Source organism: Homo sapiens, chromosome 10 (assembly GCF_000001405.40).
Source record: "Homo sapiens chromosome 10, GRCh38.p14 Primary Assembly".
Taxonomy (NCBI): Eukaryota; Metazoa; Chordata; class Mammalia; order Primates; family Hominidae; genus Homo; species Homo sapiens.
In genome coordinates this window covers 70,586,201-70,609,851 of record NC_000010.11, presented here as the reverse complement: position 1 = coordinate 70,609,851, position 23,651 = coordinate 70,586,201, and the positions used below count along the sequence as shown (strand labels likewise).

Here is a 23,651-nt window from a genome sequence, read left to right as displayed (position 1 = left end):
AAAAAAAAAAGAAAAGAAAAGAAAACTATAGCATTCCACCCCTGGTGCCCCCCAAATTCATGTCCTTCTGACATACGAAATACATTCATTCCATCTCAATACCCCCAAAAGTTTTAACTCACTTCACCATCAACTTTAAAGTTTAAGTCCAGTCTACATTTCATCTGAATATCATCTTGAATAGTCCCAGCTACTCAAGAGACTGAGGTGGGATGATCCCTTGAGCCCAGGAGTTCGAGGCTGCAGAGACTGTACCACTACACTCCAGCCCAGGCAAGACAGTGGGACTCTGTCACTTAAAAAAAATAAAACGAAATGAAAAATTTAAAATGAGTATCATCTAAATCACATATGGATGAGACTTAAGGTATAATTCAACCTGAGGCAGGCCGGGCACGGTGGCTCACCCCTGTAATCCTGAGACGAGTGGATCACTTGAGGTCAGGAGTTCGAGATCAGCCTGGCCAACACGTTGAAACCCCATCTCTACTAAAATACAAAAAAGTAGCCGGGTGTGGTGGCATGCACCTGTAGTCTCAGCTACTCGAGAGGCTGAGGCAGGAGGATTACTTGAACCTGGGAGGCGGAGGTTGCAGTGAACCAAGGTTCCCACCACTGTACTCCAGCCTGGGCAACAGAGTGAGACTGTCTCAAAAAAATAAAATAAAATAAAATTACCCTGAGGCAAGCTGCTCTCCAGCTGTCAACCTATGAAATAAAAAAAGTTACGTGCTTCCAAAATACAATGGTGGGCCCAGGCACAGTGGCTCACATCTGTAATCCCAGCACTTTGGGAGGCCAAGGCGGGCAGGTCACCTGAGGTCAGGAGTTCGAGACCAGCCTGGCCAATATGGCGACACCCTGTCTCCACTAAAAATACAAAAAAAAATTAGCTGGGCATTGTGGCGGGCGCCTGTAATTCCAGCTACTTGGGAGACTGAGGCAGGAGAATTGCTTGAACCTGGGAGGTAGAAGTTGCAATGAGCCAAGATGGTGCCTTTGTACTTCAGCCTGGGTGACAAGAGGGAAACTCTGTCTCACAAAAAATAAAAAAAAAAAAAAAAATACAATGGTGGGATGGGCATAGATAGACATTCCCATTCCAAAAGGGAGCAATAGGAAAGAAGAAAGGGGTGACAGGCCTTGACCAAGTCCAAAACCCAACAGAGCAAACAACAGTAAATCTTAAGACTTGAAAATAATCTTTGACTCTGTGCCCCACCTTCTGCACACACTGGGGTGGAAGTCATGCTTCCAGGCAGCACTGTCCCCACAGCTTCGCTTGGCACCACCCACGCAGTGGCCCTCATGTATTGGAGTCCAGTCCCTGAGAATCTCCCAGATTGGAGTTGCATGCTGGTGGCTCTCCTGGTCTGGCATCTCCAGGGTCACTCTGCCCCCATGGCTCCACTGGGAGCCCTAGTGGGGGATTTCTGAGGTGGCCCCAACCCCACAGGTCCATTAGACATTTCCCTAGTGGGGGCTCTCTGAAGTGGTCTCACATCTATGATAGTTCTCTGTCTGGGCCCCAAGCCTCTGTAGGACATCCTTTGAAATCCAGGTGGTCATAGCCATGCCCCCACTGCAGTTTAACACTGCATGGATACCATGCTCCAATGTATCCAATTTTACACTTGTGGGCATGAAGCACGGCGCTCCAGCCATGGAGCATGGTATCCATGGGGCAACCAAAGGGACAACCACTGTAGACCACACTGCACCTAGGCCCACTAGCCACACTTGAGGTGACCAACGAGCTCTGTGCCAGAATGCATGGAGTAGAAATTTGATGCAGCCCTGGGCAGCAAACCACAAAGCCCCAAAGGCATCCTGGGTCCCTCCCTTGAAACCATTCGGACCACAAAACCCTGGCACTCTGGGCCTGTAATAGTAGTGGCAGCCTTGAGGATCTCCAAAATGCCTTGGGGGCCATTTTCCCATCGTCTTGATGAATATCACCTGGCATTCTTCTAGCCATATAAATCTCCCTATCAAACATTCACTTGGCCACACCATTGGTATTCTCTCTCAAACACTTTCTCATTCTTTACAACCTGGCCACGCTGAGAACTTTCCAACTCTTTTAAGTTCTACTTCCCTTTTAACTATATGTTTCACCCTTAATTCATTTCTCTCATCTTGTATTTTACTGTAAGCAATCAAGAAAAGCCATGCTGCATCCTCAACACTTTGCTTAGAGATTTCTTCTACCAAATATACTCTTTCGTTGCTCATAAGTTTTGCCTTCCACAAAACACTAGAACACAAACACAATGCAGCCAAATTCTTTGCCACTTTATAACAAGGATCACCTTTCTTCCACTTAACAAGAAGATGTTTCTTATTTCCATCTAAGACCTCATCAAAGTAGCCTTTACCGTTTATATTTCTACCAATGTTCCACTTGCAACCACTTAAATAATCTCTAAAATGATTGAAGCTCTCTCTACAGTTCTCCTCGTCTTCTGAACCCTCACTAGAAAAACCCTTTATAGTCCGTTCACAGAAATACAAGTTTTTTTCAGCATGAACCTCAAACTCTTCCAGCCTCTACCCATTACTCAGCTGCAAAGCTCCTTCCACATTTTTAGGTATTTGTTACAGCAGCACCCCACTCCCAGCACAATTTCTTGCTTAGTCTACTCCTGCTGCCATAGCAAAATATGTTAGACTGGATAATTTATAAATAATAGAAATGTATTTCTCACAGTTATGGAGGCTGGAAAGTTCAAGATCAAAGTACCAGCAGACGTGGTATCTGGTGAAAGTTTGCTCTCTGCTCCACAGACGGTGCCTGTTGCTGTGACCTCATATGGTGGAAGGGCAGAAGAGCAAGAAGGTACAAACAGACTCCCTCAAGCCCTTTTATAAGGGCACTAATCCCATTCATGAAGGCAGAACCCTCATGACCTAATTACCTCCTAAAGGCCCCACTCCTTAATACTATTGCATTGAGGATTAAGTTTCAACATGAATCTTGGAGGGACATGAACATTCCAAGATAGCAAGATTTATGGCACTGTTCTATCTAAAGCAGGTATTTTATAACCTAAAAAAATCAAAACCATATACGATATCCACATGCAAAAGAATGAAGTTGGACCCCTTTCCATACACAAAAATTAACTCCAAATGGATAATAGACCTAAATATAAGAGCTAAAACTATAAAACTCTTAGAAGAAAACATAGGAATAAATCTTCATGATCTTGGATTAGGCAGAACCTTCTTAGATATGGCATTAAAAATATAAGCAACAAAAGAAAAAAATAGGTAAATTGAACTTCAACAAAAGTAAAAAAATTTTTTTTTTTTTGAGACAGAGTCTTGCTCTGTCACCCAGGCTGGAGTGCAGTGGCATGATCTCGGCTCACTGTAAGCTCCGCCTCCTGGGTTCATGCCATTCTCCTGCCTCAGCCTCCTGAGTAGCTGGGACTACAGGCGCCCGCCACCACGCCCGGCTAATTTTTTGTATTTTTTTAGTAGAGACGGGGTTTCACTGTGTTAGCCAGGATGGTCTCGATCTCCTGACTTCGTGATCCGCCTGCCTCGGCCTCCCAAAGCGCTGGGATTACAGGCATGAGCCACCCCTCCCGGCCTGTAAAATCTTTTTTTTTTTTTTGAGACAGTGTCTCGATCTGTCACCCAGGCCAGAGTAAAGCGGTGCGATCTTGGCTCATTGCAGCCTCGACCCCTCAGGCTCAAGAAATCCTCCCACCTAAGCCTTCTGAGTAGCTTGGACTACAGGGGTGTGTGTGTGCCACCACTCTCAGCTAATTTTTTTTTTTTTTTCCAGAGACAGGGTCTTGCCATGTTGCCCAGGCTGGTCTCGAACTCCTGGGCTCAAGCAATCCTCGCACCTCAGCCTCCCAAATAGCTGGAACTATTTGGAACTATCCCAAAAAGCAGGCACACATCACCATGCCTGGCTAATTTTTGTATTTTTTGTACAGACAGGGTTTTGCCACATTGCCTAGGTTGGTCTTGAATTCCTGGACTTAAGCGATCCTCCTACCTTGGCCTCCCAAAGTGCTGGCATTACAGATGTGAGCCACCATGCCTGGCCAAAAGTAAAATATTTTTATACTTCAAGGGCACCCTCAAGAAAGTGAAAAGAAAGACAACTGCCAAAATAGGAAAAAATATTTGCAAATTCTATATCTGACAAGGGTCTAGAAGTCAAAACGTAGAAAGAGCTATTACAATTCAACAATAAAAAGACAACTCAGTTCAAAATAGGGGCAAAGGACTTGAATAGACATTTCTCCAAAGAAGGTGTACAAATGGCCAATAAGCATATGGAAAGATGTTCAACTTCATTAGCCACTGGGGAGATCCAAGTCAAAACCACAATGAGGTACGACTTCACACCCACCAGGATGGCTATAATCAAGGTTTGGCAAGGAACTAGTGGAACCTTGGTTTGATTTGGAAAGGAGGAATTAGAACTCTCATAAGCTGCTGGAGAAATGCAAAACAATGCAATCACGTTGGAAAACACTTCCTCAAAAAGTTAAACCTATAGTTACCACATGTCCCAGCAAGTCCACTCCTAGATATATACTCAGGAGAAATGGAAACATATGTCCACACAGTAACCTGTACACAAATGTTCATAACAGCATTATTCATAACAGCTAAAAAGTAGAAACAACCAATAAATCCATCAGTTATGAATGGGTAAACAAATTGTGATATGTCCATATAATATAATATTATTCAGCCATGAAATGGACTAAAGTACTGATACATGCTACAACATGGATGAACCTTGAAAGTATTATGTTAAATGAAACAAGCCAGACACAAAAGGCCACATATGCTATGATTCTTTTTATATGAATTGTCGAAAATGGGAAAATTAACAGAGAGATAAAGTAGATTAGCGTTATGAAGAAATGAGAAATGGCCAGGCACGGTGGCTCACGCCTGTAATCCCAGCACTTTGGGAGGCCAAGGTGGGCTGATCACTTGCAGATCAGGAGTTCAAGACCAGCCTGGCCATCATGGTGAAACCCCGTCTCTACTAAAAATACAAAAAAAAAAAAAAAAAATTAGCCAGGCGTGGTAGCGCATGCCTGTAGTCCCAGCTACTGGGGAGGCTGAGGTGGGAGAATCGCTTGAACCTGGGAGGCAGAGGTTGCAGTAAGCCGAGATCATGCCACTGCACTCCAGTCTGGGTGACAAATCAAGACTTCATCTCAAAAAAAAAAAAAAAAAGAAAAAGAAAAAGAAAAAGAAATGAGAAATGACCACCAGTGGGTATAGGTTTTATTTCTGGAAAGTGATGAAGATGTTCTAAAATTGACTGTAGCGGTGGCTGTACAACTCTGTGAACATACTAAAGCCATTGAATCATATACTTGAAATGGGTGAATTATATGGTATGTGAATTACATCTAAAGATTGTTGTTACTAAAGAAAACCATATACATGGTGTCTGGTGATTGAACAAATTACGCACTTGTTGAAACTTGTGTCTCTGAGGAAAAACTCTGCTTAATGCACATTCAAGTGTCAAGTTTCAGAAGGACAGCTGTCATCAGTTAAACGAGTCAAAAACAGTCATCACCCTCAATGTCATTTCGGCTCTTTAATGGATCCCCTAACAACCACTAGCATCTCTTGGGCATTAGCCACTTCATAAGCCACTTGAAACCTGCCAAGTGTACATTTTATCATTAGCTGGAAGGATGTGTAGAATTCCAAAGTCCTCTCTTTGATTTTATAGGTGAGGAAACTAACGCTCAGAAAGGGGGTTGATATCTATCGCCGTGAGGCATACGGTAAGTTTCTGGTGAAGCTGGGATCAGAACCTGTTTAGACTTTGCCTCTCTTTTCCCGCAGATACTTTGCAGGACTTCTATGTCCCTCAAACCGGCCTTCCTGTCATGGTCAGGAAAGAAACTCCTCACAGCCTCAGCATCCAAGTCAGGCCATGGGTGACAGCTGGAAAGTGATCAGGAGGCTGCAGTTTCTAGAAGAGGGTGGGGACACTGCGGAGAGAAGATGGGGCCAGATTCCGAGAAGACAGCATAAGCCCCTGTTCCTGTAAGAGCAGGGACGGAAGCAGGGACATAAACGCAAGGGATGAGCCCCAAAGTGTGACCCATGAGACATGATGTCACATGTGGTCTGGAGCCTGCGGCCACTTCTTCCCATCATATACACAGTTATGAGAACAAGTTGTGAGAACCACCTCCTCCCTTACCCAGCTGCCCCCACCCCAGAAGCCGTGTGATTTTGCCCCCCAGTGCCCTGTGAGTCACTCCACCCATGGAAACCTCACCCCACCCTGACCTCAAGCAAGGCAGAGTGCAGAAGACATGTCCTCCGGTGCTACCAGACCACTCTCACCAGCACCCACGACCTCAGCAGGGCTGGAGCCAGCGTGGAGGCCACTGGCTGTCCTCACAAAGCGAGGAGCAGGAGCCCCTGTTCGAGGAACATGCTTGGAGTTCGGAGCCTGGGCTAGGGTGGGATGTAGGTTGAGCAGGAAGTGGATGGCAAGATTAGAGCAACATCTCTCTTCTCCCACTCAGGGAGGAGGGAATGGCCACAGGCTCTGACACTCAAGAAGGGCCAGGCACAGTTCCAAGCACTTCACAACAACCCCTAGGGTCTACATGACCTACAATCCCAATTGTTCAGTGAAGAAACTGAGGCACAGTGAGGCTGAAGAACCCTACCAGTCCACACTGCTGGTGCATAACCGAGCTGCCCAAGCCCCGGCGGTCTGGCGTGTAGGCCCATGCTCTGAGCCGCCGCCTCTGCTTGCCTCTTACATCCCACACATGCGATGCTGTGCATCAGAAGCAAGGAGATGGCCCTGCTGGCCTGTTCATCAACACCAGGGCCGAGTCTCAAAGTCCTCAGCGCCCCGCCCTCCTCCGCCTGTGTGCCCTGAGTCCCCGAGCCCCAGCAGCTCTACTCGGCAGATGAGCCTCTGGCCCTGCTGCTCGCTTCCTGAGGGCTGTCAGTGGGGAGCCGGATGAGGGCTGAGGACAGGGTGGGTGCTTGTGGGAGGGGAGAGCACAAAGGACCTGTGACCACAGCTGGGGGCGGGGCAGGAAGTAGAAGTGATGTGAGTGGTGGCTGGTGCAAGGAGCCACAGTGGGCTGCCTGGGGGGCTGATGCCACCATTCCAGGAGCCTCGGTGAAGAGAGGATATCCATCTGTGTAGCCGCTTCTCTATACGGGATTCCAGGTAAGGAGAGAGCAGGGATTGGGGGGCCTGGGGCCCTGGGTGGAGGGGAAGAGGCTGATGGAGCAGGAAGTGCTGTGACCTATAAGACAAGACACCTGGGTCACAGACGGTGCCCATCACTAACTCGCTGGGCAGCCCTGTGTCCACCCTGGGCCTCAGTTTCCTCATGTATGAAATGAAGAGGTAGCGTGCAGTTTCTAAGGCCCTGCAAGTGCTGACATTAAAGCTTCTAAGAAAGCTGGAAAGAGGCTCCCTGGGACAGAATACCATGAGAGTCAGGATGAGGGCTGAGTTCACTGGATTAGGGTTATGACTGTGCCCGCCTCCTAGCTGGGATGAGCCCAGGGCCTTTGAAGATTCCCCTGGCCTCTTTGCCTCCCTGGGGCGAGCCACGCTGCCTGAAATTCCACCCTTCAAGTCACACCTTTGGGCAGGGCAGGAGGCTCCAGCTATAATGGGGGCTCTCCATAGCCCTCTTGTCTCAGAACCTGTGGTACCCAAGGGCAAAGGCCTTTGAAGAGCTCAGCTTGGATAAGGTTAGGCTTGGGTAAGGTTAGAGAAAGGAGGTTCCAGATCATAAACAGGCCCAGGCAAGGCCCCAGAAACACCTTAAAATTAGGAAGAACCTTCCAGACAATCATTGTCCATAGTAGGCAATAGGGGGGCCCCTGTCACTGCCGAAGGCCACAGAGCTTGGCAGGGAGTGGCAAAGAGGGGAGGGGCAGCAAGAAAGGATCTGAAGAGCAACCATCGAGGCCTCTCCCCACACAAAATCCAAGGGTGTGGTCAGGTCTGCCCCTTTTTTTTTTTTTTTTTGAGGCAGAGTCTTACTCTATCACCCAGGCGGGAGTGCAGTGGTACGATCTTGGCTCACTGCAACCTCCGCCTCCTGGGTTCAAGCGATTCTCCTGTCTCAGCCTCCCAAGTAGCTGGGATTACAGGCACCCGCCACCATGCCCAGCTAATTTTTGTATTTTTAGTAAAGAGGGGGTTTCACCACGTTGGCCAGGCTGGTCTCGAACTTCTGACCTCCAGTGATCCACCTGCCTCTGCCTCCCACAGTGTTCGGTTTACAGGTGTGAGCCACCACACCTGGCCAGGTCGGCAGATTTTATTCTAGAATTCGGGCTGATGTTATTCCATAAAGCTCAGAGGGAGAGCCCCAAAGGGAAAATGAGAAGAATAGGTGCAATATAGGACCTCATTTCTCTTCCAATTCTGTTAAGGGCTCAGTGGGAGGGAGAGAGGTTAGAGAGAGTGACAGAGACAAAGAAACAGAGTGAGAGTCAGGGTGGGCAAAGGGTGGCTTGTTCTGGGGCCAAAAATGACACTTCTTCAGAATGAAGGCTTCCTCAGGTCCCCAGACCCCTCCCTAAACCTGCTACAGCTACTCTGTCCCCTCTTCTGTGGCCACAGCCCCCTCCCCACCACCCACAGTTGTGTCCTGGGGACAGAGCCATCCACCTAGATCCCCATTAGGCCTTAGGGAAATTCTAAAAAGGGGCTCCCCTTGGCTGGGCTTTTCCCCTCTCTGGGCCCATCTGTACAATGTGGGGGCTGAACCAGGCCTATAAGGGACATACCAGCTCTGACATTCATTGAATAATGACTTAAGAGATATCTCAGCCCCTCCCCTTCCATGTGCCCTGATAATCTGTGGCTGTGGGGGAAGGGAGCAGTCATCCTCCATCCCTCCACCCATGGCTTCCCAGAGCCCAAGTGCCCCCTGTCTCTGCAGCTCCATGGCAGCCCGTCTGCTCCTCCTGGGCATCCTTCTCCTGCTGCTGCCCCTGCCCGTCCCTGCCCCGTGCCACACAGCCGCACGCTCAGAGTGCAAGCGCAGCCACAAGTTCGTGCCTGGTGCATGGCTGGCCGGGGAGGGTGTGGACGTGACCAGCCTCCGCCGCTCGGGCTCCTTCCCAGTGGACACACAAAGGTTCCTGCGGCCCGACGGCACCTGCACCCTCTGTGAAAATGCCCTACAGGAGGGCACCCTCCAGCGCCTGCCTCTGGCGCTCACCAACTGGCGGGCCCAGGGCTCTGGCTGCCAGCGCCATGTAACCAGGGCCAAAGTCAGCTCCACTGAAGCTGTGGCCCGGGATGCGGCTCGTAGCATCCGCAACGACTGGAAGGTCGGGCTGGACGTGACTCCTAAGCCCACCAGCAATGTGCATGTGTCTGTGGCCGGCTCACACTCACAGGCAGCCAACTTTGCAGCCCAGAAGACCCACCAGGACCAGTACAGCTTCAGCACTGACACGGTGGAGTGCCGCTTCTACAGGTGAGAGCTGGGGCTAGGGGTGGGGGGCTGGAAAAGGCGCGGGAAACTCTGGGTGGTCTAGGAGCCCTGGAAAGGCAGAGTCCTCCAATCAAACTTGGAGGCTGCTTCCACCAGGAAGAAACTGCAATCCTGGCTCTCAGACTTCAGGTGATTCAGCCCTGTGGCCTCCTCTCATCCAGGAGGTCCCAAATCTGGGAGTGCCCAGTGAGACATCAAGTAGAGAGAAAGTGAGTGAGACCATGCCTGAGAGTCCCAGCAGGGTGCCATTTAGGTCTAGTGAGTACTGAACCCTGCCTTTCCTGGGCACAGCCAGCCTTCCACAGAGTCCTTCCTGGATAGGGACAGAGGCAGGAGACCTGGCCGGGTCATCCTTCCTCATCGCTGTGTGACCTTGAGCATCTCACTTCTCTCTGAGCTTCAATCATCCACTCAACCAATACTCACACCTGCCTGTGGCAGGGCCACACTGCTGAGCGACAGCAGTCACTACCCTAGCCCCTGGGAGTAGGAAGTATGGGACCCATATTCCACGTCTGAGAAAGGCACAGTGTTTGTAGGCCAGACCCAAGTCACCTGGTCTGATTCATCAGACCTGGGGGCCACGTTTCCTCCACAGAGAGGCCGAGCATGGCCCAAGCTGTCAGGATCCCGGGCATGTGGGACCCATCCAGGGGGACGGATGGATGAAGGCCACATGACTAGTTCCAAAGTTCGACAGATACCATCAGTGCAGGATCATTGCTTTTATGTTCTTTTTTACTTTTTCTTAAAAAAAAAATAGAGATGGGGTCTCACTATGTTGCCCAGGCTGGTCTCAAACTCCTGGGCTCAAGTGATCCTCCCGCCTCGGCCTCCCAAAGTGCTGGGGTTACAGGCATGAACCACTGCTCCCGGCCAGGATCATTGCTTTTATAATAAGAAAATTAAAAGGAAAGAAAAAAATGTTATTTTGAAAAGGAAAAGAGAAAATACCTATACAGAGCACTGAGGTCCCTGAGGGGTGAGAGCGGAGGCATTCCTGCCAGCCCCGTGCCACTGTGCTTGTGCTCTGGAGCCGGGCCCCTGGGTTCCAGTCCTAGTTCTGCCCACTTACATGTGACCTTGAGCAGTCCTGAAGGAGTTATTTGATTGAATGGGGGAAATACTCCCCTGGGCCCAGCTGAGGTCTCTCTCTTCTCGCAGTTTCCATGTGGTACACACTCCCCCGCTGCACCCTGACTTCAAGAGGGCCCTCGGGGACCTGCCCCACCACTTCAACGCCTCCACCCAGCCCGCCTACCTCAGGCTTATCTCCAACTACGGCACCCACTTCATCCGGGCTGTGGAGCTGGGTGGCCGCATATCGGCCCTCACTGCCCTGCGCACCTGCGAGCTGGCCCTGGAAGGGCTCACGGACAACGAGGTGGAGGACTGCCTGACTGTCGAGGCCCAGGTCAACATAGGCATCCACGGCAGCATCTCTGCCGAAGCCAAGGCCTGTGAGGAGAAGAAGAAGAAGCACAAGATGACGGCCTCCTTCCACCAAACCTACCGGGAGCGCCACTCGGAAGTGGTTGGCGGCCATCACACCTCCATTAACGACCTGCTGTTCGGGATCCAGGCCGGGCCCGAGCAGTACTCAGCCTGGGTAAACTCGCTGCCCGGCAGCCCTGGCCTGGTGGACTACACCCTGGAACCCCTGCACGTGCTGCTGGACAGCCAGGACCCGCGGCGGGAGGCACTGAGGAGGGCCCTGAGTCAGTACCTGACGGACAGGGCTCGCTGGAGGGACTGCAGCCGGCCGTGCCCACCAGGGCGGCAGAAGAGCCCCCGAGACCCATGCCAGTGTGTGTGCCATGGCTCAGCGGTCACCACCCAGGACTGCTGCCCTCGGCAGAGGGGCCTGGCCCAGCTGGAGGTGACCTTCATCCAAGCATGGGGCCTGTGGGGGGACTGGTTCACTGCCACGGATGCCTATGTGAAGCTCTTCTTTGGTGGCCAGGAGCTGAGGACGAGCACCGTGTGGGACAATAACAACCCCATCTGGTCAGTGCGGCTGGATTTTGGGGATGTGCTCCTGGCCACAGGGGGGCCCCTGAGGTTGCAGGTCTGGGATCAGGACTCTGGCAGGGACGATGACCTCCTTGGCACCTGTGATCAGGCTCCCAAGTCTGGTTCCCATGAGGTGAGATGCAACCTGAATCATGGCCACCTAAAATTCCGCTATCATGCCAGGTGCTTGCCCCACCTGGGAGGAGGCACCTGCCTGGACTATGTCCCCCAAATGCTTCTGGGGGAGCCTCCAGGAAACCGGAGTGGGGCCGTGTGGTGAGAACAGTGAGCTTGGAAAGGACCAGTATGCTTGGACTGAAGGGGTTCTCACAGTGGGAGCCAGGGCTGTCTTCGTATTCCCATTAGACCAAGCTTGTCCAACCCGAGGCCCGCATGCGGCCCAGGATGGCTTTGAATGCGGCCCAACGCAAATTCGCAAACTTTCTTAAAACATTATGAGTTTCTTTTTGCTATTTTTTTTTTTTTTTTAGCTCATCGGCTATCGTTAGTGCTAGTGGATTTTACATGTGGCCCAACACAATTCTTCTTCCAACGTGGCCCAGAGAAGCCAAAAGATTGGATACGCATCAGACAGATGGAAAAGGGAGATTCAGACTGTTTTTCAGGGAGGTGGCTGGGTTTACACGCTAATCCCGATTCACCCTGTCCAAACTGCCTAAGCCCTCCGCCATTCTCAAGCCCTGCAGTCACAGCTACACAGATCACAGCTTCAGCCAGGAGCTGGGCAGAAGGCCAAGAGGCTGTTCCCACCAGGCTGCTCAGGGCTGGTCTTTTAGGACCCTTCCCTTGAGCCCTCTATGGTGTGGCAAAGCCTTCATTGCCTTAACTGGAGCCCCATCAGCTCCAGCTGCTCTGTCTTCTTTGCCCACAATGCTTTGCCCCTGAGACAAATGGAGGCCTGTCCTGACCTGTCTCACCATGTACATAGCTTGATAAAGGGCCAATAAATATGATGTTATGGTGATCATCATGGTGGTGTTGTGGCAGAGGAAAAGATGGGACCAAACACACCCCAGAGATAAACTTCTACATTGGCAACCCAGTGAAAACAGGCTGGCAGGTAATGTATATAAACTGCTTTTCCACTTTTGTCAGAAACGTGGGGACCCAAAATATTTTACCTTCCTCATAACTCTCTGACTCAAGAAAGCAGCAGCATAAACATGATAAATGGCAACAGGCATTCAGCTCCCAGCTGGAAGACAATAGGGCATGGTAAGGACTGTGGTCAACTAAAGAGTGCATATCTTTTGTGCGGGGGGAGGGGCTGCAGTGCTGCTCCAGCCAAACATTTCATGCAGGAACATGAGCCCCGTGCTGCCAGGTCTTCTACTTATTTAAGGTCAAACCACAATTTGACTTCTAACTGTGGCAGTTAATTTCATTTTGTGAAAATACACCTTTGTGGGCAAACATGGTGCAAGCCAAAGAGAACATGCATGTGGGCCATAATTGATCCAGGGCTATCTGCTTTGAAAATTCTACCTTCAACAGAACCATTTTGCACAAAGCTGAAAAGCTCTCCCCTGTCTCACGATTTCAAGCAAAGGAGCATTGGTTCCAACAAGGTGGGCTCTGTGGGCCTCCTAGGCCTTGGATGCAAAAAAACCCAGAGTCTCGGCTTCCAACATAAGATGAAATGGTCTTTGTTTCATGTGCCCGGGACATAGGCCTCAGCACACAGTCCCGTGGAGTGGATGGCAAGATTCCAGGCAGCTTCCTGGACACGGCTGTGCAGGCTGTGCAGGGTCATTGTCAGAGGGTCCAGAGGAGCGGGCACAGCCCTCCCGACTCTCTTTGAAACTCCCTATAAATTAAGTTCTTTGAAGTTTGTATGGGACTCATAGGCCCAAATGCCAAGCAGTGACATTACATTAACCCTAAATCCCCAGGTGGGACAGGAGGGGTGGCCAAGGTCCAAAAGCCTGGTGAAACTACTGTTACCACATGTCCCATTCACAGACACACACTCAAACCAGAGCATGAGAGAGACCTCGACACTTCACGGTGGCTGCTGCGCTCATTGGAAACAAACATGGGGGTGGGCGGTGCCTCCCGGGGAAAGCAGGTTCAAAAGGCCAGGGCGGGCCTGGCTCAGGGCACAGCCCTGACAAGAAATGGAAGTCTTGCTCAATAGCTATGTGATCAGTGACCCCCAGCAAGTCTCTCTGCCTCCTGGGCCCCAGTTTCTCCAAAACGACAGTCTATTTTACTCCCTTCTTAGGACTGTCTTGAACCTTCCTAGTGCTACAGGAGGGTGCCGAAAGTTCATGTGGTTTCATACACAGGGAAACTGAGACCTAGCAGGAGGAAGGGATTCAACTGTAGTCACAGAAGAAGTTAGCGGCAGAAAGAGCCAGCCCTAACTCAAGACCCGGCATGACACTTTCATTTCCACCCCACCTGGACATTGGGATGCTTTGGCACACCCGAGGCCCCCTTGTTTGTTTGAGGAAGTCTCCACTGTGCTAGCCTCCTTCCGTTTGCCCTCCAGGTCTTGTCCCCACCTACTTCACCCTGCTCCGACCCAGGGGACTGACCTGTCTGAGCCTTATCTGTGGGCAGGAGATTAGGGAGGTGGAGTACAAATAGTAAGGCCTTTGCTCCCCTCCATGTCCCTAGTGAGGTGGCCTTGGGCTGGCTCTGTCCCTTATGTCACTGCACCTTTCCAGGGGACCTCTGCACATCTCACTCTCTCTCTCTTTTTTTTTTTTCAAATGTGGCTTGTCTGATCCCATCTTTTCCTCTGCCACAACACCACCAGTCACCCTGGCTGGAGGTGCATTGGCACAATCATGGCTCAGTGCAGTCTTGACCTCCCAGGCTCAGGTGATCCTCCCACCTCAGCCTCCTGAGTAGCTGGGACTACAGGCACATACCACCATGCCTGGCTAATTTTTGTACTCTTGGTAGAGGCAGGGTTTCTCCATGTTGCTGAACTCCTGAGTTCAAGCAATCCTCCCACCTCAGCCTCCCAAAGTACTGGGATTACAGGTGTGAGCTACCACACCCAGCCTGCATGTCTCTTTCTTTCCCAGTTCTGGTAACTGCCCGTGCCCCTTGTCCCTTCAGACCTAGGGCTGCAAAACTCTGCCGCTGCTCATCCTAAGACACTGCACTATCTCTTCCACTCCCTACAGCTTAAGTCTGAAAAAACCTTCCACCAATTATTGTAATTTGAATATGCCACTGGCATCCTACTGGGGCCCTGGATGACAGGGTCATCCTCCTTATAAGTCTGGTGGGAAGCAGAGCCCACCTTCCCCTGAAGCTGAAAATGCCCAATTCTGTCTTCCGCACCCTCCCTTATACCTAGGAAAGAACATGGGACTGGGGCTGCCAGTCAGGTACAGCTGCCTAGATATGTGATTTCCTGAGAAGCAGGCACTGAAATGAGGGTTTGAGTGCAGGTAATTTATGCAGAAGTGATCCCAGGAGGCACCAGCAGGGGAGAGGGGAAGTGAGCCGGCAGGGAGGCTGGCCAATAAAAAGTACATTTTTGGCCGGGCGTGGTGACTCACGCCTGTAATCCCAGCACTTTGGGAGGCCAAGACGGGCGGATCACTTGAGCCCAGGAGTTCAAGACCAGCCTGGCCAACATGGTGAAACCCTGTCTACTAAAGATACAAAAAAATTAGCTGGGCTTGGTGGCACACGCCTGTAGTCCCAGCTACTCAGGAGGCTGAGGCAGGAGAATTGCTTGAACCCAGGAGGCAGAGGTTGCAGTGAGCTGAGATCATGTCACTGCACTCCAGCCTAGGTGACAAAGTGAGACTCTGTCTCAAAGTTAAAAAAAAAAAAAAGTGCATTTTCCCACAAGTCATCACTGTGGGCAGCCAGAGCTGTCCTGGAGACAAAGAAGAACACGTGCCTCTAGCCTAGCACTGAGGGAGCCAGGGTGTTTTCATACACCATGTGTGTCTGCTTCCACACATGGGTGTTAATTTCCCCCTCACTCCACCAAAGGGGCAGGCAGAGCAGAGTCCAATGGCCAGGGAAAACCCTCAGGGGAAGAGGCAGAGGCTGAGTCCAAATGTAGGGACCTGCGCTGGGAGGATACTGCCCAGGGGATGCAGGTGCCGACCTTGCTCCCCATGGAATCTGGAGCTGTCATTGCAGGAAGAGGGAGTTCCTGGGGCTGCTGGTGAGAGTGTCTAGGGATTATGGGGTCAGAGGAACAACCAGAGGTAGCTACGACTCTGCAGCAGTGTCCCCACTGGGCCAGTCCCGAGGCAGGATTTAGGGGCACTGTTCCTGGATGCTCAGGCTGCCCAGCCACCCAGGCGACTCTGTGAGATGCCCAGTCAATACATTCTTTTTCTACTTATCTATCCAGACTTGGCTTCTTTTGCCTGCAGTTAAAAACCCTGGATGACAACACCATCCCCTTCCCCAATGCTAGTGGGATCCTGCCCTTAGAACCACCACACAATTGTCCCCCAGCCCCTCCCTCCCAATGGCAGGAAGCACAGAAGCCGGGGTCCATTCACGTTCTCCATCACCTGACGGATTGTTACTGAGTGCCTTCTATGATCCAGGTCCTGGGGCCCCCAAGGACAGAAAGTCATGCTGAGCGCCTGTCCCCTTGAGGGCTGCATCCAACAGGAAGACAGACGTGGGCACACTGGAAGCTACAGGTAGTCAGGATGACATTCATTTTCATATGCGCACACAGTCCAAGGGGTCTCTTCCAAGACTTGGGGCTGGCATTGACAACAACCCAGGTTTTTTGTTTTTTTAGAGACAAGGTCTTGCTCTATTGCCCAGGCTGGAGCACAGCGGCACAATCATAGCTCAGTGCAGCCTTGACTCCTGGGCTAAAGTGATCCTCCCACCTCAGCCTCCTGAGTAGCTGGCATGCACCACCATGCCTGACTAATTTTTTAATGTTTTGCAGAGTCAGGATCTCTCCACGTTGCCCCGGCTGGTCTCAAACTCCTGGCCTCAAGCGATCCTCCCACCTTGGCCTCCCAAAGTGCTGGGATCACAGGCGTGAGCCAGCCCCAGCTTTTGTTTTTTAAGCAGTTGCCACAGCACCATCATCTCCCTCCATATACACCTTCGTGGTCCTGACAAGCTGGCAGTGAGCCTGGCGTCCCTGATGTGTTTGGACGGAGGAGATGCCTGCTGGAGGGGGAGGTGGTGTAGGGGTGAGGGAGCGAGGGAGTTCCTTGTGGTGAGGGGGCTGCTGCAGCCTTGGGAGACTGTGGTTCCTCTTGCTCACCAGCATCTCCATTCCTCCACGCCGCTCCACATCCTGACATCTGTCGCTTCCTCATAACCACAGCCTCTCTTGGTCGCCAGTATCTCTTGCTTGGCCCACTCCGCCTTTGGCCTTCTCACTGATCTCAGGGCTCGTGCATGCCCCTCACTCACCCTGCAGCCACGGTGATGCCAGCACCCTGCGCAGATCCCCTCAGACCCCACCACAACCACCAGCCCCTGCACCTCTGTCTAAGGCCTGTGCTGGGGCCCACTCTGCCTGCCCCATCAGGAGGCCAGAATTATTTGAGAATAGTGTCCATGTCCCACTCAGTCCAGAAAAACCCACAACCAGTGGCTGAGGAAAGTTGGTATACAAATACCCCAGCTCACTCCCTGTCCAGGGAATAACTGCAGGACATATGCCACACTGGCTCCCAGAGTTCTACAGCAGGTGGAAGCTCCATTTGCACACAGAGGTGACTTGCTTGACCACATACACCTTCTTGGCTGCCTCCCTTTCCTGTCTCACTACCACACCCCCTCACTGGTATTTTCTGGAGTCACCCCCCAGTGGAAACCATACACCCTTGGATCCCTGCCTCAGGGTCTGCCTCTGAGGAAACCAGCTAAGACACACATCTGACTGTGTCATTGACTGGCTCACACTCTATTGACTCCTTGCAGCTAAGTCCTTCTCAACCTTCAGCCTTTAGCTTCAAAGATCACTTACTCCAGGAAGCCTTCCCTGACTGCCAGGTCTAGGTCATGCCGCCCTCTACCCTGCTTCTGTAGTCCCCAGCGTTTCCCCATCATAGCACTGTGAAGCCACAAGCCATTTCTATCTTATTCATGGTTGAATCAACTAGTCCAGCACCTGGCATAAATTTGATAAGTGAAAAATATTGGATGGATGAGTAGATGGAAGATGAATGAGTGGATGAATGAACCCCACCAAGGAATTTTCCAGCCTCTGCTTGAACTCCCCCAGAGACAGACAGCTCATTACCTCCTAAGGTAACTGTCCCACATTTAGAAGGTTCTAACCATGAGCTCTCATGTTACACAGAGACGTACCTCCTACATAGGAGCCTACACAGTAGGCTACCTACCACAGAAGCCTAGCATCCACTCCTGGTTGTGGCTCAAGGATTCTATATATTTAAAGCTTTGGTTTTAGCCAACCGTGTTAGTCCTAGCTATTTGGGAGGCTAAGGCAGGAGGATCACTTGAGCCCAGGAGGTCAAGACTGCAGTGAGCTATGGTCATGCCACTGCACTCCAGCCTGGCAACAGAGTGAGACCCAGTCTCTAAAAATACATACATACATACATACATACATACATACATACATACATACATACATAAATCACTGGCCCTGTCTTCAATGTGGTTAGGCAGAAGGACCACTGGGCTGATTCCAGTCCATGCAGCAGCTTCCCCTCACTCTCCTTCCGTGAAGGAGCCATGGAAGGGCCAGACACTGCCCAGGAGAAGGTGGAGGTGGAGCTGGGCCAGCCGCCTCTCTTCTCTGTAGCTGACAACAGAAGTGAGACCCCCTTCTGGGAGGGATGGATGCTCTTGGTTGTTTGCTCTTGATTCTTTGTTCCTCAATAGACCTCATCACCAACTGGGGTCAGTTGCAGCTAGGGCAGCTGTTTCTCTGGGCAAAGCTGATGCCCACTTGGCCTGGGCAGGTTCTGGCCACAGAGGGGCAAGGTCTACCACCTTAGCCTGCTCACAGGATCTCCTCCCTTCCCCTCCCCTCCACTGGCTGATGAGGTCCTTTCCAGCCTCGACTTCCACAGCTCAGCTGACCACAGCACTCCTGGGGCAGGGGCAGGCTGAGCATCTGCCAGGTTTTCACCGTTGAGGACAGGAGGATGTGACTGGTGCAGTTGAGACCAAGGTCACAGGTGAGATTCTCAGGGGGAGGTTAGAGTTAGTGATGCACAGAGATAGTCTCAGTCACAGACAGGATCCTGGAGAGGAGCCAAGGACTGACATCCAACCTAAGCCACATTGAAAAGACCCAGCCACACACTGGAGACCCAGTCACAGAAACCAGTCCAATCATATGAATTTCGACTTTGGTCCAAGACAGATTCCCAACCTCAATCAGTTCTCTTGTACATTGCAAGCACATAAAACTCCCCCTCCAGACTTGAGTCCCCAGCTGCAAATGAGGGGGCTGGAACCGTGATTTATTTGCAGCTTTCAGCATGGAGAGTCTCAGCCCTGATCCCACAAGCTGTTCAGTCTCTGACACTCAGTGGCATGGCCTGGTGTGTCAGAGGTGTTTGAACCAGAGCGACTCCATCTTGAATAGGGCCTGGGTAAAATGAGGCTGAGACCTACTGGGCTGCTTTCCTAGGAGGTTAGGCATTCTAAGTCACAGGATGAGATAGGAGGTCAGCACAAGAAACAGGTCACAAAGACCCTGCTGACAGGACAGGTTGTGGTAAAGAAGCTAGCCAAACCCATCAAAACCAAGATGGTAATGAAAGTGACCTCTGGTCTTCCTCACTGCTCATTATATGCTAATTATAATGCATTATCATGCTAAAAGACACTCCCACCAGCGCCATGACAGTTTACAAATGTCATGGCAATGTCAGGAAGTTACCCTATATGGTCTAAAAGGGGGAAGAACCCTCAGATCCAGGAATTGCCTGCACCTTTCCCAGAAAACTCATGAATAATCCACCCGTATTCAGCATTTAATCAAGAAATAACCACAAAAATAGCCAACAAGCAGCCCTTGGGACTGCTCTGCTTATGGAGTAGCCATTCTTTTGTTTCTTTACTTCTAAGCTTGCTTTCACTTTATGGATTCACCTCAAATTCTTTCTTGCATGAGATCCAAGAACCCTCTGTTGGGGTCTGGAATGGGACCCCTGTCCGGTAACAGGTGGACCCAGCAGCCCCGCCCTCACCAGTCTGCACAATGGGTACATCTCATGAACAACACCATCTTTCTCATGCTGGAAGAAGCCCTGATCCTATTAACTTTCTCTTCCCAAAGGCTCAGATACTCAACCCTGCCCAACCAGAACAAGAGCAGCTGCTGTTGTTTGGTGGGGCAGAATCAGAACCTTTTGTTTATTGTAGGGCTCCAACTGTACATCTGCACTCATAGTTAATCTCCACAACAGCTGGTTCCCAGTTTCCTCTTAAAAGAGCAGTGACGTCAGCTTGCTGGCAGGACACTGGATTTTTCCCTGGGAACCCCAAACTCCTTGTGAGATTCAACCATCACAAAAAGAGGCTGACCCTGAAGAAAACATACTTGTCTCTCTTTCCTCTTTATGAAACTGCCTTTGCAAAAATTATAACAGTGAGAAAATTATGACAGTGAAAGAGATCTGATCTGACTAACTCCCATCTTGCCTTTAACCTCCAGAGTGCCATTGGTCATTCCTGGGCTTGGGCCAAGCTAACTTTGGGAGAAATTTAGTTTACAGTCTAACTGATACTAGCCCTTCCCCAAAACTCAACTGCCTTGTAAAACTAATGAAAAACCATCAGGTTAGAAGGATGGGAGGAGCCTGAATTCTGCTAAGATGTAGACAGAAACGATTAACCTCCATTATTCCAAAGGACACTAGATTTGCAACTTCCCCAATTACTCCTGCCCATAAATAACGTCACTACTGAAGAACACCTAAGATTGGCCTTTTGAGATGTTCTTTTAGACTCGCATTTCTGACAACCAGATGGCCCCGCCTGGACCCATGACTCTTGGCTCAACTGCTCCTGTGGTCCCCACCCAGAGGCAGACTCAACAAGCAGGAAGACCATTTTCCACACCTCTACAATTGTGTCCCCAGACAATCAGCAGCCCCTCTTCCCTTGCCGCCAAACTATCCTTGAAAAACCCCAGCCTCTGAATTTTCGGGAGTACTGATTTGAGTAATATACCTTCAGTCTCCCATTCAGCTGGCTCTGTATGAATTAAACTCCTCATTGCAATTCCCCTGTCTTGAAAATCAGCTCTATCTGGGCAGCCGGCAAAATGAACCCACAGGGCATTTGGGGTTCATTTTTGCAGTTACATTTATTCACAGGAATCAGCACCATCAGGCACTAGGACCTTCACGCAAGGCTCCGCCAGTGGCAGAAGGCAGTAATTGAGAGGGGACATAGCTACTGCAGACGCCTGTCCTCCACCATGGTAATGTGGGTTCTAGGACTTCATGTGATTTCATTTCATAAAGCATTTTTCCAAGTTGGAGAAATGGAGAGACCTCACTCCCTTTCCCTGCCCTTCACTTCCATTATTTTTCTCTCACAAACACCAGAAGTAAAATACTAAAAAATAACATTTCTTGAGCACTTACTATAATGTTTTAAGGACCATACACGTAACACATGTTGTTTTACATGACATGTACATACAACATGCATATGTAATACATATTAGCTCCTTTAGTCTTCCCAACAACGCTGTAAGGCAAATAAGGTTGGTGCAAAAGAAGTAATTGCGGTTTTTGCCATTACTTTTAAACGGCATTACTTTTTAAAAGTAATGTCATTACTCTTAATGCCAAAAACCACAATTACTTACTTTTAATGGCAAAAACCACAATTGCTTTTGCACCAACCTAATACTTATCCCCATTTTAGAAACAAAGTAGCCCAGAAAGCTCTGGTTTTTCCCCTCACATGTGCCTGAAACTTCCTCCAGCAGCTGCACTGCAGGACGCCTGAACGCCCACGGTGTGCTCCTTGCAGTCTCCCCTAACGCCATCCCTTCCTGGTCCCCACAGCCATCTTCAACACAGTGGCTGGAAAGGACTCACTTTAGGGGAATGTCCTTGGGGGGCCATCTCCCCAAGCTACCCTGACACTTGTTTTTTTGAAAATCTGATAAGATATACACAACACAGTATTTTTCATTTTAACCATTTTAACCATTCATAAGTGTACAATTCAGTGATGTTAAATGCATTCACCACTATCTACACCTAAAATTTTTCAGGATCCTCAACAAAAACTCTGCAGCCATTAAAAAATGGCTTTCCCTTAGCCTCTGGTAACCTCTGTTCTTTCTTCTGTCTGTATGAATTTGCCCTATTCTAGGTACGTCATATAAGTGGAATCATGCAATATTTCTCGTTTCTGCTAATTTCAGTTAGTACAATGTTTTCAAGCTTCATCCGTGTTGTAGCATGTATCAAAATTTTATTCCTGCTGGGCGCGGTGGCTGACACCTGTAACCCCAGCACTTTGGCAGGCTAAGATGGGTAGATTACCTGAAGTCAGGAGTTCAAGACCAGCCTGGCCAACATGGCGAAACCCCATCTCTACTAAAAATACAAAAATTAGCCAGGTGTGGTGGTGGGTGCCTGGAATCCCAGCTACTCAGGAGGCTGAGGTGGGAGAATTGCTTGAACCTGAGAGGCAGAGGTTGCAGTGAGCTGAGATCACGCCACCGCACTTCAGCCTGGGCAACAGAGTGAGACTCTTTCTTAAAAAATAATAATAGAAATGAAAAACGTTATTCCTTTTGTGGCTGAATATATTCCATTGTATGTCTAGAGCGCATTTTGTTTCTCCATTCATTCATCAATGGACAGACACTTGGCTTGTTTCCACCTTTGGCTATTGTGAATAACACTGCTGTGAACACTGACGTGCAAGTATCTATTTGAGTCCCTGCTTTCAATTCTTTTACATATATACCAAGGAGTGGAATTGTTGGGTCATATGGTAGTTCTATGTTTAACCTTGTGAGAAGCCACCAAACTGTTTTCCACAGCCTGCCTCTAGCTTCTTAGCTAGCCTCTGCCTTGGCCTTCCTGAGCCCACCTTCCCACCCGTGAACCCCAAATATCTGAGACAGGTCTCAGTCAATGTAGAAAGTTTATTTTGCCAAAGTTAAGGGTGTGTGTGTGTGACACAGCCTCAAAGGTCCTGGGAACATGTGCCAAGGTGGTCGGGGCACAGCTTGGTTTTATACATTTTAGGGAGACATGAGCCATCGATCAGTATAAGCAAGATGAACATTGGTTCGGTTCTGAAAGGCAGGACAACTCGAAGTGGGGAGGGGACTTCCCAGTCATAAGTAGATAAGAAACAAATGGCTGCATTATTTTGAGTTTCTGATTAGCCTTTCCAAAGAAGGCAATCAGATACTCATTAATCTCAGCGAGCAGATGGATAACTTTGAATGGAAGGCAGATTTGCACTAAGCAATTGGGGTCCCAAGAATTAACACACCCATCAGATCAGGACTTGACCAGGGGTCCAGCTTCAGCTCCCCAGCATCAGGGAGTCCACCCTCTACTCAAGGAAGGCCTTTGCAGCCAACCCCCCACCACACACACTGCCCTACCTTAAGCTCTCCCCTGGAGCAGAGGCCCTGGCCAGGAGGGGAGAATGGCAAGCTACATGGGTGTGCACCTACGCTGCGTCCAGGGCTTCTCTCCCTGGTACCACCTCCTCCTGTTGATGCCTCTTTGTCTCCATAGCCCCTGCACGGGCCTGGCACAGCATATTGATTGATGAATGAATGAATGAATGAATGAATGAATGCTGACATGTATTCCCACTTCACCTCGCCCCCTCACAGGACTGTGAGCTCATGGAGGGTAGGGGCCACCGCTTGTTCATCCCAGTATTCCCACAAAGCCTGGTCTGAAAGGGAAATTCACAAACAGGAAAACGTCTGTTGGACCAAAGTGAATTAAAATGACTGCGAACTGAGAGCAGATTGTTGGAGCGGTGGGGGAAAGAGAACAAGAGAGGGAGAAAGTGGGGGAGAAAGAGGAATGCCAAGCCCTGCTCCTGAGAAGAAGCTAAGAATAGGTGGCCTGGGTTCCTGTCCCCTCCCCTCCCACCTCCTCATCTTCAGGGCTCCCTTGCAGAAAGGAGCAGCCCCCTTCTCACTGCTTCTCTCCCACCCAG

The 23,651-nt window shown here is 50.2% G+C and overlaps 1 protein-coding gene across 2 annotated transcripts, besides 2 other annotated features; it reads left to right on the top strand.

Annotated features, from left to right (window-relative positions):
• Positions 7,111 to 12,504, top strand: PRF1 (perforin 1). Of its 2 annotated transcripts, none has more exons than NM_005041.6 (3): positions 7,111 to 7,207; positions 8,946 to 9,488; positions 10,671 to 12,504. In NM_005041.6, the coding sequence occupies exons 2-3, from the start codon at positions 8,950 to 8,952 to the stop codon at positions 11,797 to 11,799; spliced, it is 1,668 nt and encodes a 555-aa protein (NP_005032.2). In that variant the 5' UTR covers positions 7,111 to 7,207; positions 8,946 to 8,949; the 3' UTR covers positions 11,800 to 12,504. The 2 variants fall into 2 exon arrangements, with proteins under 2 accessions (NP_005032.2, NP_001076585.1); NM_001083116.3 differs by having other exon boundaries at positions 8,920 to 9,488.
• Positions 12,971 to 13,471: an enhancer, noted in NCBI's record as "H3K4me1 hESC enhancer chr10:72356137-72356637 (GRCh37/hg19 assembly coordinates)". NCBI's record gives its function as "activates a minimal SCP1, AML or CMV promoter by ChIP-STARR-seq in primed H9 embryonic stem cells {active_cell/tissue: H9 hESC(primed)}" and the evidence as "EXISTENCE:reporter gene assay evidence [ECO:0000049][PMID:30033119]".
• Positions 13,945 to 14,239: an enhancer, noted in NCBI's record as "tiled region #12376; K562 Activating DNase matched - State 5:Enh". NCBI's record gives its function as "activates a minimal TATA promoter and a strong SV40 promoter by Sharpr-MPRA in K562 cells {active_cell/tissue: K562}" and the evidence as "EXISTENCE:reporter gene assay evidence [ECO:0000049][PMID:27701403]".

Coding starts and splice junctions, on each gene's coding strand:
- PRF1 (NM_005041.6), top strand. CDS start 8,950: ATGGCAGCCCGTCTGCTCCTCCTGGGCATCCTTCTCCTGCTGCTGCCC. Junction 9,489..10,670: donor GTGGAGTGCCGCTTCTACAG/GTGAGAGCTGGG, acceptor CTCTTCTCGCAG/TTTCCATGTGGTACACACTC.